This window comes from Homo sapiens, chromosome 15 (genome assembly GCF_000001405.40).
Source record: "Homo sapiens chromosome 15, GRCh38.p14 Primary Assembly".
Classification (NCBI taxonomy): Eukaryota; Metazoa; Chordata; class Mammalia; order Primates; family Hominidae; genus Homo; species Homo sapiens.
In genome coordinates, this window is record NC_000015.10 from 28377467 (window position 1) to 28394676 (window position 17210).

Sequence of the window (17210 nt, forward strand, 5' to 3'; positions counted from 1 at the left end):
TAAAATGAAATAAGGAAATAAAAATGTAATTGTTGAAATAAGAAACTAGTGGATGGATTAGACACGAGAAGAAAGAATTAATTGTTTAGGCGATTCTCTCCAAAAAGTAAGTCAGCATGTCACACAGAGAGACATGAGGATGGATGATAGGGCAGAAGTTGGTGGGCTTGGAGGGGAGAGGAAGATCAGAATGAGGTCCAAAATGTGTCTTAGTGAAATCCCAGGAGGAGATATTAAAATTATATTAGAAAGTGAAAGAAATAGAAGTTTTATTTATTTATTTATTTATTTATTTTGAGAAGGAGTCTCGCTCTGTAGCCCAGGCTCGAGTGCAGTGGCACGATCTGAGCTCACTGCAAGCTCCACCTCCTGGGTTCACGCCATTCTCCTGCCTCAGCTTCCCAAGTAGCTGGGACTACAGGCACCCACCACCACGCCTGGCTAATTTTTTGTATTTTTAGTAGAGATGTGGTTTCACCTTTTTAGTCAGGATGGTCTCAATCTCCTGACCTCATGATCCGCCAGCCTCAGGCTCCTAAAGTGCTGGAATTATACGCATAAGCCACTGCACCCGGCCCAAAAGCTTTGTGTTTTTACAAATATTACACATGTTTCTTGTTTAAGAAAAAAAGTCTTCACAATAACGTAGGAGAATAAGAGAAACATTTTTCCAAAAAAGAGAAGTCATTGTGATTATTTTATCTTATTGGAATGTTGGATAATATAGTCTGCTTCAGTAATCATCAAGCATGCTATGGATTTTCCATCTTCATAGGATCTGTATCTCGGTTAAGGTAATACTGGTAATTTTTGTACTCTATGAAAAATATAGGCCAAAATCATAGACCTTGCATAGAAGCTGGATCATGAAGACAGCTCTGGAGGAACACACAGGTACACACACACAGACACACATATATATAAAGTATACACATATATATTTTTTAAAAGCTTTTAAAGCAAAAGCCGGCCCTGCCCCTCTCCCAGAGTTGGCGGCCTCTCCCCTCTCTTAGAGTGGGTGGGGACAGTGGTTGCATGGGCAGCTTTCCTTGTGAGCCAAAGGTCCCTCTGGACACATGATGCCTGGCCACGCCCCCTTTCCCTTTCATCTTTCTCATTAACCAATGGGCTTGGAGCATTAAGGCCACGCCCCTATTCTGCCTTCTACTGCATCCCTGGTTACGCCTCCTCTGGCTCAGTCGCACAGCTACCTGGTAGGTGACTGGAGGTGTTGATCAGTGCTTGGTGGGATTTTGCTGATGTGGCCCCAAGCCCGCCTCCCTCCCCACCCTGCGATGGCAGAAGAAACTCGACAAAGTAAATTGGCAGCAGCCAAGAGAAAGGTAAAAACACACCAGGTCACGGACCCCCAACCCAGCCATAGATCCTCTCCAACGACAAGACTGCTGCCAGAGTCCATACCACTCCCGAGGTTCACCGGACTGGGACCCCCACACCGGTGCCTCTGGGCTACCCCCACCAAAGTTTTGTCAGTCAGCCCCACCCCTTCAGCAAGCAGCCCAGTCTCTGCCCTCACCAATCACCCCAGGGTGACTTTGGGCAGGTGAATCCTGGGGCTCCCCGCTCCTTTACTGGGCCCTCATCTCCTGCCACCCCAAGCTTGACCTCCCAGGGCTTTTTGGGCTCACATCTCCAAGGACCTGGGTCCCACAGCCCCAGACCCCACCCTCACCAGTCATCCCTGGGTGACTTTAGGCTGGTGAATCCTGGGGCTCCCTGCTGCTGACTCTTCCCTTCCCTCCTGCTGCCTCAAGGTGGACCTCCCTAGGCTGTGTGCACTGGTGTCTCCAAGGACCTGGGTCCCAGCTCTGTTTTTCCCTCCCCTATCATGGAGCGGTGACTCGGACATCATGCTGATGTGGTCCCTCCCCCTCACCAGGAAGAGTGGAATGTAGTGATGTCACGGTCCATCCAGTAACTGTCATTACTGCAAGACTGGCCTTTGATCTTATGACCCAGTCCCCTAAGCATTGCCACCCCATTTCTGGTTCCTCTTGTCACAGCACAAATTTCCAGCTGGAAGGGGAATGGAGATTGGGACCTAGGAGCAAGAGGTTTCAGGCTGCCTCACTCCCTTAGCATAAACATTGACAGCGGGAAAAGCCTACACTTCCCCTGTGAGCTCAAAACATTGACAGTACCTCTGGATGGCAACTGGAGAATGGGTTTGACTTGGTTTGGTTTTCTCCCAGGCTTCTACTTTCCAGAGAGATTTTAACAAATTTTTTGTGAGTTCTCCACCTCACATTCTAATTCTCCATGGTTCTGGGACCAGACTGCCCTTCAGCCAGTGGTCTGTGAAGTGAGATTTGCTCATCTTCTCTGGAATAGATCTTGGGAAACTGAACTTGACAGCTTGAATCTTCCTCATATTATGTAAACCTGGGGTACTTTGAGTGCCACAGGATACATATGGGACATCTTTCTGAAGCATCAGTTTCCATTGATTCTCTTGAGATCAAGAGAAAAAACATTAATGTACTTAGGGATGACAGTCACATAGGTTTCTAAGAGTATACCAGACTTCTCTCTGAAATGAGGCTTGGGTTGTCCTCTTTCTGATAAATTCCCAGATTTAACAGAAAGGCTGCCTTCTGCCATGAGGACACATTGATATAAGAGTTTGAGAGGTACTGGTGCACTTCTTCACACTAACAGACGTGTGAGGATGTATGACTAAACCACATGGCATACAGTTCCTGCCTACTTAATGTTTACTTTTCTACCTCTGCCTCTGGTTTTGGTCCCTGGCAGCTGCTGATTCTTGGTAAAACCCCAGAGTTTGGAGTCAGAAGACTGAGTTTCAAAGTTCGTCTGTCGCCTTTTTCTTTTCTTCTTTTTTTTTCTAGCCATGATATCAATCTCTTTGAGTCACTAAATGATTGTGACAACACCTTGTACAGTTGTTGGTATCATTAAATCAGATGGTGTATAAGAGTATTTTATAAAAACTGTAAAGGAGGATGTGGCTGCAGGGGCTGATAGTTCTCATGAGTATTACTGCTCTTGTTTCTGACAGTTAAAAGAATATTGGCAGAGAAACAGCCCTGGTGTTCCAGCAGGAGCCAAGAGGAACAGGAAAACAAATGGCAGCATCCATGAGACAGCCACTTCTGGTGGTTGCCACTCACCTGGAGATGTGAGTCTTGGCTGACTAGGTTCCTGGGGACAGGGGACCCAAGGGGCACTAGAGGGTAATTGTTAAGATTGTGGATGGACTGTTGGGTACCTGTGAAGAATTCTGGGTTTGAATCCTGCCTCTTTGTCTGCTAGGGATATGAATTAGGGCAAGTTGCTAGACCTCATCGGGCCTCTCTTTTCACATCTGTATAATAGAGGTGGTATTGTTTCACTTCCATTTGTGAAGTTTAAATGAGATTTGTTATTGTTGTTTTTATGTTAATCCCTAGTACATGGCCTGCTGTAAACACCCAGAACACCCAGGATATGGTCATTGCTGTTCGATTTTCCTCATCCCCAGTCTCAAGGGGAAGCCAGGACAATGAGAACAGTCACTTGGCACAGGAGTCACTGAAAGGGCCACAGGGTGCTGTGGTGGGGAGATAAGAACCATGAGAGAAGTTGGCACAAAGGAGTTATGGGACAAAGGGTCCAAGATAGGCAGAAAAGAAAATTGTGCCAGTTGATGGGGAAGAAAAGAAGTCAGAGGGCTTAGATACTGAGTGGGACAGAACATCTTCATGTGCACTCTCATCTCTTGTAGTCAGCAACAGGTATCCACGGGGAGAGCCCTACATCATCTGCTACCCTGAAGGATCTGGAGGTAAGAGGCTCTGGGCAGAGGTGCAGTGACCCTGCAGGCCAGCCCTCCAACCTCCTCCTCCAGGTGGGACGGGGTGCCCCTCTGCCAGCTGAGACAGTCCACACACACCCCAGCCCTAATGATTGCTCTCTCTACCTCTCCCCCCACTCCTCCTCCACCTCCTCCTCTCTGCATGCGCCTCAGAGCCCGTGCCAAGAACTAGCAGTAGTCCCAGACTCGAGGTCCGTAAAAGTCAGTCAACTGAAGAACACCATCAAATCTTTGGTAAGAGTCCACTGGGGTCCCCTGATTCCACGCTGCCAATCCTGGGCTCTAGTTTCCCCTTGGGGCCCTGAAGAAAGGGGACGGCGGCCCCTGGTGCCAAGGGCGAATAGGGAGCTGGGGCGCCCAGGCCTCACCTGGAGGGACCCCGGAGCATGCAGCATGGCTCTTTTTTTGCTGCCCTGTTTGCTGACTCTCCCCTCTCCAGACGCCCCTGCTCGAGTCCTTGCTACACACGCCCTGGGATTGTTGCCTCTTGGGGAAGTGCTAGCCTGACTAGTTGTCAGGGGCCCCGTATTTCTGCCATGACTCAGTCCCTAATTTGCTCTTTGATTCTGGACAAGCCACCTCTCCTTTTTGGGCTCATGTTTCCAGAGGAAGTAGTGAGTATCAAAGGTCTCTGTTAGCTCTCGAGTCTGAGATTTAAAGGCCTCCTAGAATGGAAACCTCAGGGCCAAAGGCTCCTGTCTGTCCTTTTCCGCCCTAAATCTTCTGTGAAGAACCGTACTTGGCCCGTACGTGCTCAGTAAATGTTTATTGAATGAATGCACTTTTCTAAATCACAAGCTGGCAGAAGGGGGGGCCTTTCTCAAACTCCATCTCTAGAGGTTTATGTTACTGTCCTGTCAAGAGATTCCAGATTCAGACCTTGAGTTCTGTGGCTGTGGACAAAAGCCAACAAAGACCCAAATCCTCTGTCCTTGGGAGCTTGAGGAGAGTTTACCAGTTCGAGTTCCCACTGGGTCTGAGAACTTTGCCTTTAAAATCCATTCCTGGCCCCTGCCTACCACTTCCTGCTCTGGGGAATAGAGTTGAGGGGGCCACCCTCCATCACCTTAATGTGACTCTCCCCACAGAAACAACAGAATAAACAAGTGGAACATCAGCTGGAAGAAGTAACATGATTTCTTTGTTTGCTCGCGACATGACTGCTCGGTTTGGGGGACACTCAGATGTAGAGGCCCCGAGTCTCGTCTCACCCACTCCCAGCCTGGGGAAGAAGGCTCACCCCCCAGAGTCCACCCCATCCCCCACAGGGTCCCTGATAACCCGGTCCCATGGGTGGGCCTGTCCCGGGGCAGGGGCAGTGGTGGCATTCTGGGGACATGTCTCTTGCAGTACCATCTCTGCCTCTGCCTGGTTAGATCTCTGTCTTCCTCTTCCTACAGGAAAAGAAAGCAAACAACGAGAAACAGAAAGCCGAAAGGGAGCTAGAGGTGAGTGGACGGTGTGCAGTTTTCTCCTGTCCTCCGGAGAATGTTTCTTTCCTTCTCTTTCAGCACTTGCTTGGCTTTTCTCCCAAAGGTTCAAATCCAGAGATTGAACATACAGAAAGGGAAACTAAATACGGACCTGTACCACACGAAACGTTCTCTCAGATACTTTGAAGGTGGGAATCTGGGTACCCTGTCATCCTTCAACCTGGCACTTTGACAGGTCTTCAGGGGGAGTCCTTTGGGCCCCATCTCAACTCTCTCATTACAGAAGAGTCCAAGGATCTGGCCGTCCGTCTGCAACATTCATTGCAGCGTAAAGGAGAGTTAGAGCGGGCTCTCTCTGCTGTCACCGCCACACAGAAGAAGAAGGCGGAGAGGGTGAGTCCAACCACCTGCCCCGTCCCCTGGGAGCCTGGCTTCGCAGACAGAGGAGTGAGCCTAAAGGTCCCTTCTGCAGGATGGAGTGTCCTGCCCAGAAGGCAGCATGGCCATTTCTCACTGCTTTTTTGTATGGTTGTTAGCGGCAGCTTGGGACTGAGTCAGCTGCTGTGGGTGAGTTGGGGGGCACTCTGGGGAGAGAGCACAGGACGTAGAGCTTGGAGGCCAAGTGCCTGCCATGCCTTTACCTGGCTGTGGTCTTGGCCAAGTCCTCAGTGGGTATTGGGTACTTGTACTGTGAAGGTACAGAAGAGTACCTTTAGTATGTTACCATTTCTGTAGAGAGAGGAAACGTGTGTGTGTGTGTACATATTATGATAATATACATAAAATATGTTTGCAAGTGTTCATAAAAACTCAGGAGAGAGCAACAGGGTGGCTGGGAGATACTTCCCTTCTGTACCTTCTGAGTTTGGGACTATGTGAATGTATTATCCTTTCAAAAAGTGAACAAAAGATTAATTTTCCCCTTCCTAGCTGTGCCCCCACCCCCAGCAAGAAAAATGGGCTTAGAGAATTGGATAGATCTGGGTGTTTAAATCCCAGCTCTGCCTAAGTGATCTTAGGCAAGCACTTAACCTCAAATACTCCATGTTTTTTCATCTACACAATAGAGGTCATCATAGTAACTGTCTCCCATGGTGGTTGCGAGGATTAAATGGGATTGCTAGCATGGTATCTGGTGAAGCACTCCATAAAAGTTCAAACAGTGGTAATAATAACAGTAATAACAATAGCAATATTATCTGATCTCTCTGGGCCTCTGTTAGCCAGCTATAAATTCGATCTCTTTCCCTGTCCCTTCCAACTTTACTGAGTTCTTTAAAAACCAAACCACGGGCTTGGAAATGCCTTGATCTTTACTGACCGAGTTGTATATTGGGCCTAGCCCTGGCCCTTTTAAGGGGCACTGTGTGGAATGGCCCGGCCTCACCAGATTGAAACTTCTCACTCTTCAGCAGTTCTCCAGCCGCAGTAAAGCACGTATGGAGTGGAAGTTAGAGCAGTCCATGCGGGAGCAGGCACTGCTGAAAGCGCAGCTGACACAGGTGAGGTGTTCAGAAGGAGGGATGTGGAAGAAAGATGACCCCAGGTAACCAGGAGCAGGTGAGGACCAGTGACAGCCCTTCCTAATTTCTGTGCCCATTCTTGCAGTTGAAGGAGTCACTTAAAGAAGTCCAGCTAGAGAGGGATGAATATGCTGAACATCTAAAAGGAGAGAGGGCCCGGTGGCAGCAGAGGATGAGAAAAATGTCGCAGGAGGTGAGATCTGACCCTTCAGCCCCCCCACATTAGATAGGTCACTGGATCTTTCTGGGCACCTGTAAAATGGGAATAGTAGAGCCAGAGGTGGTCCTGGGACTGGGCTTTGTGGAGGTGGGGGCAGAGAGGGAGATGGTAGCATGTCCAGCCTCCAGCCCCTCTCTCCAGGGCCCTTTCCCCCTGTGCTTTGGGCAGGTTTGCTCGTTGAAGAAGGAGAAGAAGCATGATAAATATCGGGTAGAGAAGCTGGAGAGGAGCTTGTCCAAACTCAAACACCAGATGGGTAAGATGGGGCTGGCGTGACCTGGCAGCAGGACTGGCATCAGAGGGCTGTGAGGGTGGCTTGGAGTGCCCCAGCGAGGTGGGTGGATGGAAGGGCTTTGAGGCAGAGGGAAAGAGGTCTGTGCCAGGAGACGGCAAGTCTTGTCATCTCAATGAGCCTCAGTGTCCCCATCAGCAAAGAGGGCCCGTTGTCAGCCACCCGCAGTGCTCTTTCTCTGAAAGTGCTTTGGAAGACTGGCTACCATCTGGGTGCGAGGAATCATTAGCAGTGAGGCTAAGTTTGAGGAGCCGGAGAGGAGCTGTGCGCCAAGAGGAGGGTTTTTTCTTTTCTTTTCTTTTTTTTTTTTTTTTTTTGGAATCCAGAGGCTCTTATTGTCTGCTTCCTTTCTCAGCTGAACCTCTGCCCCCGGAGCCCCCAGCAGTGCCCTCTGAGGTGGAGCTGCAGCACCTGAGGAAGGAACTAGAGAGAGTGGCAGGAGAGCTCCAGGCCCAGGTGGAGTACAATCAGCGCATAAGTCTCCTGAATGAGGGGCAAAAGGAGAGGCTTCGGGAGCAGGAGGAGAGGCTTCAGGAGCAGCAGGAGAGGCTTCCAGAGCAGGAGGAGAGGCTTCAGCAGCTGGCCGAGCCACAGAACAGCTTCAAGGAGCTGGTGCGTTGCCCCAGCTGGGGAGCCTGCCCTCCTCCCTAGCCCTCCAGGCCTTTGTTTCCCCACCTATAAAATGGGGCAGTGTAGCCCTCAAGTGAAATGTTACTCCTAAAGGCACCTGTGAGCCAGAGCCCTGCTCTGGTGGCTGTGGGAGACAGGGGATGATTTTTCTAACCTGCCTCCACCCTTCCCGGTGCCATGGGAGGCAGTCACCAAGTTCTGGGGTCTCCAGCTGCAGTGGGTGGCTGCTGATTGCTTCTCTCTGTCCAGAACAATGAGAACAAGAGCGTACTACAGTTGGAGCAGCAAGTAAAGGAGCTGCAGGAGAAGCTAGGCAAGGTGAAGGAGACGGTAACCTCCACCCCATCCAAGAAGGTCTGGGAGGTGGGTGGGCACCAGCCTCTGGGGAGGGGAGGTGCCAGTCCAGCGGTAGCTCCAGCCCGGGGGCAGGTGACCCCAGCACCCTCCAGGGCAGTCCTGTGGCTGTTTCTTGCTTCCTGCCCTCTGATTTTAGAGGTGGGTAGCCCTGGGCTCCTCCCAGGTCTGGACATCATCATTCCAGCTAGAGACATGGAGCCCCCCCAATCACAGGGGAAGAGACAGAGTGGTATAACAGTCTTCTTATGCCAGATGCGGTGGCTTACGCCTATAGTGCCAACACTTTGGGAGGCTGAGGCAGGAGAATCACTTGAGGTTTGGAGTTTGAGATCAGCCTGGCCAACATGGTAAAACCTCATCTCTACTAAAATTACAAAAACAAAAAACAAAAAAAGAAAGAAAAATTAGTGGGGCATGGTGGTGGCGCATGCCTGTAATCCCACCTACTCAGGAGGCTGAGGCACGAGAATTGCTTGAGCCCAGGAGGTGGAGGTTGCAGTGAGCTGAGATTGCACCACTGCACTCCTGCCTGGGCCACAGAGTGACACTCTGTCTCAAAACAAAACAAAAAGACTCCTTAGATTAAAACTGGATTCCAGCCTCAGTTCCACTGGTCACCATTCAAGTACTTCGCATCTCTAAGTCTCTGTTTCTTTAACTTCAAAAGGAAGTTAGCATTTTCCTTACAGAGGTGCTGAGGATTAAATGAGATAATACATGGGAAGCATTAGGCCTGTAGCACATTTAGCAGATGGTGGTTGGCTCCCATACTTTTCTACCATTCTGTGGCCTACAGTTGAAATGGTGGGAAGAGGACATGAGATTTGAGGCTGGGGAAGGAGGCATGGGGTTCTAGGAAAGCAAGGCAGTCACTTAGGCCTGAAGTAAGGGGCCAGGGGCCTGGGCAGGCGACAGAGCCCCACAGTGCCCTCGCTACCCTATTAATGGGCCCAGAATCTGCAAACCAGCCACCACGTGCCCTCACACCCAGGGTCTTCCTGCAGGTGGAGCTGAAGAGCCAAGAGGCTCAGAGTCTGCAGCAGCAGCCAGACCATTACCTGGGTCACCTGCAGCAGTACGTGGCCACCTATCAGCAGCAGGTGGCCGCCTATCAGCAGCTGACCTGTGAGAAGGAGGCGCTGTACAGGCAGTGACTGCAGCAGACCCAGCTAATGAACCAGTTGCAGCAGCAGGAAGCTTGGGGCAAAGCGGTGGCCGAGATGGCCTGCCAAAAGTTGCAGGAGACCCAGGGGAGGGAGCTGCCGAGGATGGGGCTGTGAGGGGGACGACCTGGCAAACTCTGTGCCTTCTCACTCTTTCCTGGCCCCTTAGGAGCGTCTGGAAGCTGCGAGCCAGCAGAAACAGCAGCTAACGGCCCAGTTGAGCCTCATGGCTCTCCCTGGGGAAGGTACGGGAGACCGCTCAGAGGAAGAGGAGAGAGCCCCAGGAGGAAGGGGGGACTGCTAGCAGCATAGGATTGAGGAGTTGGAAGAGACCTTTAGAACAGCTGGTCATTATACTAACCGGGTGCCTGCACTAAGTTCAGCATCAATATGGTGACCTCCTGTGAGCGGGGGGCCACCAAGTTGCCTAAGGATGGCTGAACTGGCCGAGGTCAGAAAGGGAGCAGGTCAGAACTCCCGCACCGACCAGTAGTGGGAATGTGCCTGGGCAGTATAGCAAGATCTTGGTTCTTCAAAGTAAAAATAAATAACAGCAGCTCATTCCTCTCTGGGGAGGGCCTGGCTCAGGGTTACACAATGAGGGTGGAGGCAGAGGTGGGCCCACAATACTTCCCTTGTTGAGTTGTCTGAGGACCCCTCTGGCCACCACCCCCACCCCCAGGAGATGGAGGAGGACATCTGGACAGTGAGGGGGAGGAGGCACCTCGGCCCATTCCTAGCATCCCACAGGACCTGGAGAGCAGGGAGGCCATGGTGAGCCTGACTCCACCTGAACCCATTTTGCCTCCTTCCTCTGTGGTCCCTCCAAGACCCCTTTATGCTCTTCGTTTCCCTGCCTTCTGATTTCTCTGGACCCTCACCCCTTCTGGGAGCCAGTGGTCAGACACCATTTCACCTGTGACCAACATGTGCAGTCTCTGGGGCCCCAAGGGAAGGGGCTGCGCTCCACCTCTCTGCCCCATTTGTTCTGTGTATGCCCCTGCAAGAATGCTCACATCTTGCCCTCAGGTGGCATTTTTCAAGTCCGCTGGAGCTAGTGCCCAGGAGAAGCAGGCACAGTTACAAGAGCAGGTGAAAGAGCAGAGGGTGTGCTGCCAGCGCCTGGCTCACCCGGTGGCCTCGGCCCAGAAGGAGCCAGAGGCAGCCAGAGGCCCTGGAGCCCCAGGGCCTGGGGGCGAGTCTGTGAGTGGGGAGACCCACCGGGCCCTGCAGGAAGTCACGGAGAAGCTGGCCCATGCCGGAACTCACCTCCGCCTTCTCCATGACTTGAAAATGCCACCTGAGGGCAGGTCGCTGGCGAGATGTGACCCCATTATTTTGGCTCCAGAGCGGCTTTATGGACCACCTGGAGGAGAAGGCAGACCTGAGTGAGCTGGTGGAGAAAGAAGAACTTGGATTCTTCCAGTACTACAGAGAGAGATGCCATCAGTGAGTGGGAGGCCAGGGCATGGCAGGGGGAGCTGCAGGGCTGTTGGAGGGGCCCCAGCGTCTGAGCCCTGTCCTCCCGCAGGAAAGTTTATCACCCTATAACAAAGCCAGGGGGCAGTGCCAAAGATGCAGCACCGGGAGGAGGACACCATCAGGCTGGCCCTGGACAGGGAGGAGATGAAGGTAGAGTGTGCAACATCTCTGCGGGGGTGGGGGTGGCTGTGACGGTGAGCGCTGGCAGCAGCGTGACAGCTGAGCACCCCTCCCTCCAGGTGAAGCTGCTGGAGCTGCAGGAGATGGTGTTGCAGCTGGTGGCGACTACAAGGGACACAGCAAATTCTTGGTGACTGCCCAGAACCCTGCTCATGAGCCCAGTCCAGGAGCCCCAGCCCCCCAGGAGCTTGGGGCTGCCCACAAGCATGGTGGTGAGTAGAGCCCTCAGGCGGGGTGGGCAGGCAGGAGCAGGGGGGCTCTCACTGAGCTCAGATCCCCGCCTCCCTCTCTCCAAAGATCTTTGTGAGGTGAGCCTCACTGACAGCGTGGAGCCTGTGCAAGGAGAGGCCAGGGAGGGTTCTCCCCACGACAACCCTACTGCACAGCCGATCGTGCAGGACCACCAGGAGCACCCAGGCTTGGGCAGCAACTGCTGTGTGCCATTCTTTTGCTGGGCTTGGCTGCCAAGAAGAAGGAGATAAACATCACCATCGTCAAAGAGCTGCTGAAGAAATTTTTAAAAAAGAAACAAAGTTATGGGGTTAATCTCCTACACAATTCATTTACTTCATTTGAATGTTATAGCCACTTATGATTATTTGTGTTTCTAATTTATAGTTTAAGTTCATTTGTAAATAGTTAAAAGAGAGTGGGTCTCTGTGGCTTTCACTGATGTTCACTCTGGCATACTTTCGCAATTTTCTTTTTCAATTTCATAATTGTAGGTCATTAGCATGCATATTGAGTTTGCCCTTACGTGGTGGGAGTTCAAACACACAAAGACCCACTATTTGCACAAAACTATTCTTGCTGGTTTGGAATAGGCTGCCATGTGTTTTTAATGTTATTGCAGCATGTATATTCATTACAGAATTCAGATAAAATGTGCCTATGTTCTGCTGTTGTTTGATCTAATCTTAATCACAGTGAGCTCTTCATTAGCACAATATGTGGTTTGCCCCAAGTGTGCACTATTTAATACTTTGTAATATGCCACCAAGAGTACTGACATTTAGAGTTGTTTAAAGGCCGAGAACTGGAAACAGCCTTTCCCTCATTTTCTGTGTATTGGTGATGGGAGTAATAACATTTTGGGGGAGCTTTTTAAATTTCACAGAAGAGGAAAGTTGCCTGCTCTGGCAGGTATGTGCAAGATAGAGTGTGTTTCATTTGTTCTGTTGCCAAGAATTAGTGCTGTACTATTGTAGTTCCTTTAGGATTTGTATGTGCTCTGGGCTCATGAAGATATTGCATCATGAGCTTCAGCAGTTGTACTCTTTTTTGATGACCTAAAAAGGGCTTATTTCTGAGGAATGAAAGGTTCCCATCATTGACTACGGATGTGGAAAACCTTTCCTAGCTTAGAGCATTTGTATCTATATTTTAAAGTCAGAGTTCATGTTACCTGTTTTAATCACATGACTGCATGTCCCAGTACACAAAAGGGCACTGGTTGGCATTCTTCTTAATGTATTTAGTAAAGATCATAAGAAATCCTTTAAGAGTTCAAATGTCCCTGGAACAGGCATACAAGCTCTAGTCAAGAATGAATTAGAGTGAAGGAAAGCTGTGTGACACCTGGCATTCCTCTGTTCATGGAGCTTCTTTGAGGCTTGAAGATTGATTTTACCATCTAGACCACTCTGCCTATTCTTCAACCACCTTGGTTACTTTGACATAGGAATTGACTTCTTTTCCTTGAATGGAAAACACTTTGAAATAATAATAAACATTGTTATAAACTAATATATGTGAGAGTGCTTAGTTGAAACAAAAAGGAGTTTTAGTAGACAGTATTATACTATCTTTGAAAATCAAGGAGAAGTTTATGCAACTTAAAATGTGTACAAACTGCAGTGCAATCTACTGTTGGTGAATGTCAGTGTATTATCAGGAAACATGTCTATACAATCACAGAGTTATATTTCCTCACAAACTTCTTTGTGAAGAGTGAAATGTGTTTCTGTACCTCTGGGTTTCACTTACGGGCATATTTTGTGCAGTATTTATGTGATTGTGCCTATGCATGATGAATGAATGAATTTCAGTTGTACATTGCCTAAATCATAACTTGATGATGCTTGGGAAAGACTCAACAGTTAAAACTTCATGAAGTTCTAATGTCTGTGTTCCAAAACACATCACATTATTAGGATGTAGGGAGATATGTATGTGTGCTCCCTGGGGTGGGGATTTCTAGTTACTAGACCATCTCCATTTTTAGCATTTGGCATCCTCATGATACTTTTATAAATACGACATTAACAGGAGAGCAGCAGTACGATTTTGCCGATGGAATAACAGATTTGCCGGCAATCACTGAAAGAGTGCAAACATCGGGTCCTTGTGACTTCAACGGACTCTTCCAAATTGTATGAATGTATCAATGTATTAGATAAACCCAGTTTCAGAATGATAAAGAAAAAATGTTAGACCAAATAATGCGGCTAGTTAACAGTGGTACGATTTCTCGCCCGTGGCTTTAAAATGCACTTAAAGTCCTGTCCTTGCCTTTTATTTTCTGAACTTGATGTTTTTGCATTCTTTGAGTTCAGTTTAAAGACAACTACGAGCATCTGTAACCAATCTGACAATAATGTGTTCATCAGGTGCCTGTGGATTAAATCACATACTGGCATATTTAAGCTGAATGTCAATCTGGAAAATAAATTGACTGTATTAACGGAAATACCACTCTTTGTGTAGATATTTGTCGTATATTTAAGAAAAAGCTAAAAAGAATGGAAATCGCATGACTATAACTTAAGTCTTTCTTCAAAGTGCATGCAGTCTTTTGCGATACCTCATTCAGCCAAGTATTGGTATTCTTCCTCATTCGGTATAAGGCAGCTTTCAATTTGCTTAGAGGGCAACATTGGAAGGTTAGAGTTCATCAGAAACAGAATTCTAAAATGTGAGTTCAATTCAATAAATTTGAATTTCTGTAGGAAGAATCAAATCACCGATTTAAAGATTGCAATATATAATAATCATTTTTAAAGTATTGGATTAAATCTGATAGGTTTTCCAGAAATGAACAAAAATCAGCTCTAAAACCAAAGCTGATTTTTAGAAAATTTGAAAATGTAAATCAGCCCTATCCATACTATAGTTTCTCTAAAACTTTATCTGAAACAGTCATTTTAAAATAACTATTAAACAATGTAACTGCTATCTTAATGTTCTGAAATAAGTTAAAACATTTTAAAATATGAATACTGTAAAGGAAATAAACGGTGGGAAGGAAAAGTAGAGAAAGAAATGCCAATTCCAGTCCAAAGCTTTATTTGCCAAGTTTTCTTAGAATGAATTTTACCAATTTATGAATTCTTGTAAGCGGAATGTAAAACGGAAATACTGAAAGACTTTTGCCTAAAGTGGCATTATTGACTGCTGGTGTGATGCTACTGTAATGTAATAAATTATTAAGTTGTTGCAAAGTGCTGTTTTTGCCTTAAAATTTTATTCTGTGTGTCTTCAAAAATATAGTATTAAAGGTATTGATACTGTGCAAATGCTGAGCATGCTTGGCATGAGATAATGTTTCATTTTTACAAAATTGTAATATAACTATGCAAGGGTTTATTAAAAGAACACAAAATAAAAAAGTTATGGGATTAACAAAAGTTATGGGGTGAAAAAGTTATGGGATAAAAAATGTAAAAAAGTTGTGGCAAAAAAATCTTGTGACCAAAAAGTAGAAGAAAGTTTTATGAAAAGTTACCAAAAAAAGTTATGAAAAAGAAGTTATGGGATTTAAAAAAAAAGGCATGGGATAAAAATAAAAATTAAAATTAAAAGCAGGCCCCTGTCAGCAAAGCCTGGAGAAGTGGGGCTGGGGTCTCCACCACCACACTGTCCCTATCTCCCCTTCCCAGTCACCCCTTTACAATTAGGGTAGCAGGACAAGACCTCTGTCTAACGAGGAAAGACAAACAGACCCTTTGCCACCTTGACCAGAGCTGAGTCCTTAAATTTCTGGAAGATATTGTTATTTAAGAGCCAGAGGCTGGTGGAGTTGGTTTGTTTGGAGGAGGCCTCATGGCCTCCTTACTCTCACCATAGCAACTTTTCCCTCAGTGGGGGCTCCAATCTTCTTATTCAGAGAGGTAGCTGAGGCAGGACAGTGGGGCTAACTGTGGACCAGGCGAAGGCATGGGCTGCTGGGGTGGCCCCCCTTCCCCGGTGTATATATTGTGTCTGTGTAAGGTTTTGTATATTCCAGAGGGTAGGGCCACCCCTGTATCATACCTAGCGGTGGTTGGAGGTGGCACATGGGGAGGAGGTTCTAATAATTATTTGTGGCTGGGAAACTTACTTATTGCTAGCATAGGACAGAGGAAGAAGGCAGGGATGGGGTCATGGCTTCCCAGTGGTGTGATCACAGTTCACTGCAACCTCCAACTCTCATGCTCAAGTGATCCTCCCACCTCAGCCTCCCAGGTAGCTGGGAGTATAAGCATGCACTACTATGCCTGGCTAATTTTTAAATTTTTTGTAGAGAAAAGGTCTTGCTATGTTGCCCATGCTGGTCTTGAACTCCTGGGCTCAAGCGATTCTCCCATCTTGGCCTCCCAAAGCACTGGGGTTACAGGCATGAGACATTGCTCCTGTCCATAAGATTTTCTCTTTATTACTGTTTTGTTGTTGGTGGTGGTGTTTTGTTTTGTTTTTATTTTTTGACAGAGTCTCGGTCTGTTGCCTAAGCTGGAGTGCAGTGGTGCAATCTCTGCTCACTGCAACCTCCGCCTCCTGGTTCAAGCAATTCTTATGCCTCAGCCTCCCGAGTACCTGGGGTTATAGGCATAAGCCACTGCGCCTGGCTAATTTTTGGATTTTTAGTAGAGACAGAGTTTTGCCATGTTGGCCAGATTGGTCTTCAACTCCTGGCCTTAAGCAATCCGCCCTCCTCAGCCTCCCAAAGTGCTGGGATTACAGGTGTGAGCCACTGCTCCTGGCTAAGATCCCATCTCTATTTAAATAAAAAAAGAAAATTCAGAATCTATGGAACACAGAACACCAAAGGCCAGTTATTTACCTCTCTGAGGTAATCTGTGTAAACAATTTGATATATATCCTTTCAAGTTCATACTTGCTATGCATACATATATATACACACATACATTGACATATTCCCCCTTCCCTGCCGTCATGCTATTAGTCTTCTTTTTTTTGTAGAAATTGGACCAACTCTATGTTCTTTGCTGGCCCGTATTTCTCCTATTCAGTGATGTGTTATGAATATCTGTTTAAGTCAATGTATGCAACTCTTTAATATCATTTTAAAAGGTTACGACATACGATCATATGAAGGCATTAGAATTTATTCCAACAGTTCCCTTTTGCACATTTAATAATTTCCATTGATTTGCCAGGAAGAACATTCTCGTGTCATGGCTAAATCCTTTTGTATGGACATCCTTAATTATTCCCTTAAGATAAACTTTTAAATAAAGTTGCTAGATTAGTCTCGTTTCTTAAGTTCTTTTTTGGTAGTTTATATGTAACACTGTAGTTTTATATGTACTTACAAATACCTATAGTGCCAGTAGAAAATGGGATAAAATTAAACTCTTTCACATATGCCAAATATATTTTGATTTAGCGCTTTATTAAGTGCATGATTACAGTCTCTGTATCTTTTGATTTACCTTTCTATCTTTACAATTTTCAGCCGAGATACTTAGAGGTCACATGATAAATTAAGGTTTTCTTTTTTTAATAATCTCCATCTTTCTAAATATGGTGAGTCACAGTCAGCTATTTTTGGATTGTTGAAAGCTGTGACTGTTCTAAATCGGAGCCCAGAAATCACGCCACTTACCAAATATGCTTTGTCTTCCAACATCAGAGTGTCTGGTAGAAGGTGACTGTTCTTGGAATTTAAAAAATCTGAACAGGACAAGACAAGAATCTGGACACTTTTTCTGTTTCTGATAATATGATTGAGTAGGTAGACATGCTCGATAATCCTTGCAAAGACATACTTGAACTTCCCAAAAAAAAAAAAAATAAAATCCAGAATCTCTAAGAATGAAGATGGAGTGAAAATCAGAAGGGCTGCTGAGAGAATAATGGGGAAGCAGCCCCAGTTA

The 17210-nt window shown here is 47.2% G+C and overlaps 1 protein-coding gene and 1 pseudogene across 3 annotated transcripts; both read left to right on the forward strand.

The window, feature by feature from the left end:
• Positions 1 to 1171: 1171 nt before the first annotated feature.
• GOLGA8F (golgin A8 family member F) lies at positions 1172 to 14555 on the forward strand. Of its 3 annotated transcripts, NM_001350920.2 has the most exons (19): positions 1198 to 1343; positions 3041 to 3160; positions 3746 to 3805; positions 3989 to 4069; positions 4924 to 4962; positions 5236 to 5283; positions 5372 to 5456; positions 5552 to 5661; positions 6681 to 6770; positions 6877 to 6984; positions 7180 to 7267; positions 7659 to 7915; positions 8183 to 8251; positions 9623 to 9698; positions 10136 to 10227; positions 10802 to 10902; positions 10985 to 11085; positions 11175 to 11327; positions 11413 to 14555. In NM_001350920.2, the coding sequence occupies exons 1-19, from the start codon at positions 1296 to 1298 to the stop codon at positions 11595 to 11597; spliced, it is 1911 nt and encodes a 636-aa protein (NP_001337849.2). In that variant the 5' UTR covers positions 1198 to 1295; the 3' UTR covers positions 11598 to 14555. The 3 variants fall into 3 exon arrangements, 1 of the variants encoding a protein (NP_001337849.2); NR_033351.2 differs by having other exon boundaries at positions 1172 to 1343; positions 4924 to 5283; XR_002957623.2 differs by lacking the exons at positions 10136 to 10227; positions 11175 to 11327; positions 11413 to 14555 and having other exon boundaries at positions 1172 to 1343; positions 10985 to 11077.
• RN7SL238P (RNA, 7SL, cytoplasmic 238, pseudogene) lies at positions 9730 to 10019 on the forward strand (annotated as a pseudogene).
• Positions 14556 to 17210: the final 2655 nt, after the last annotated feature.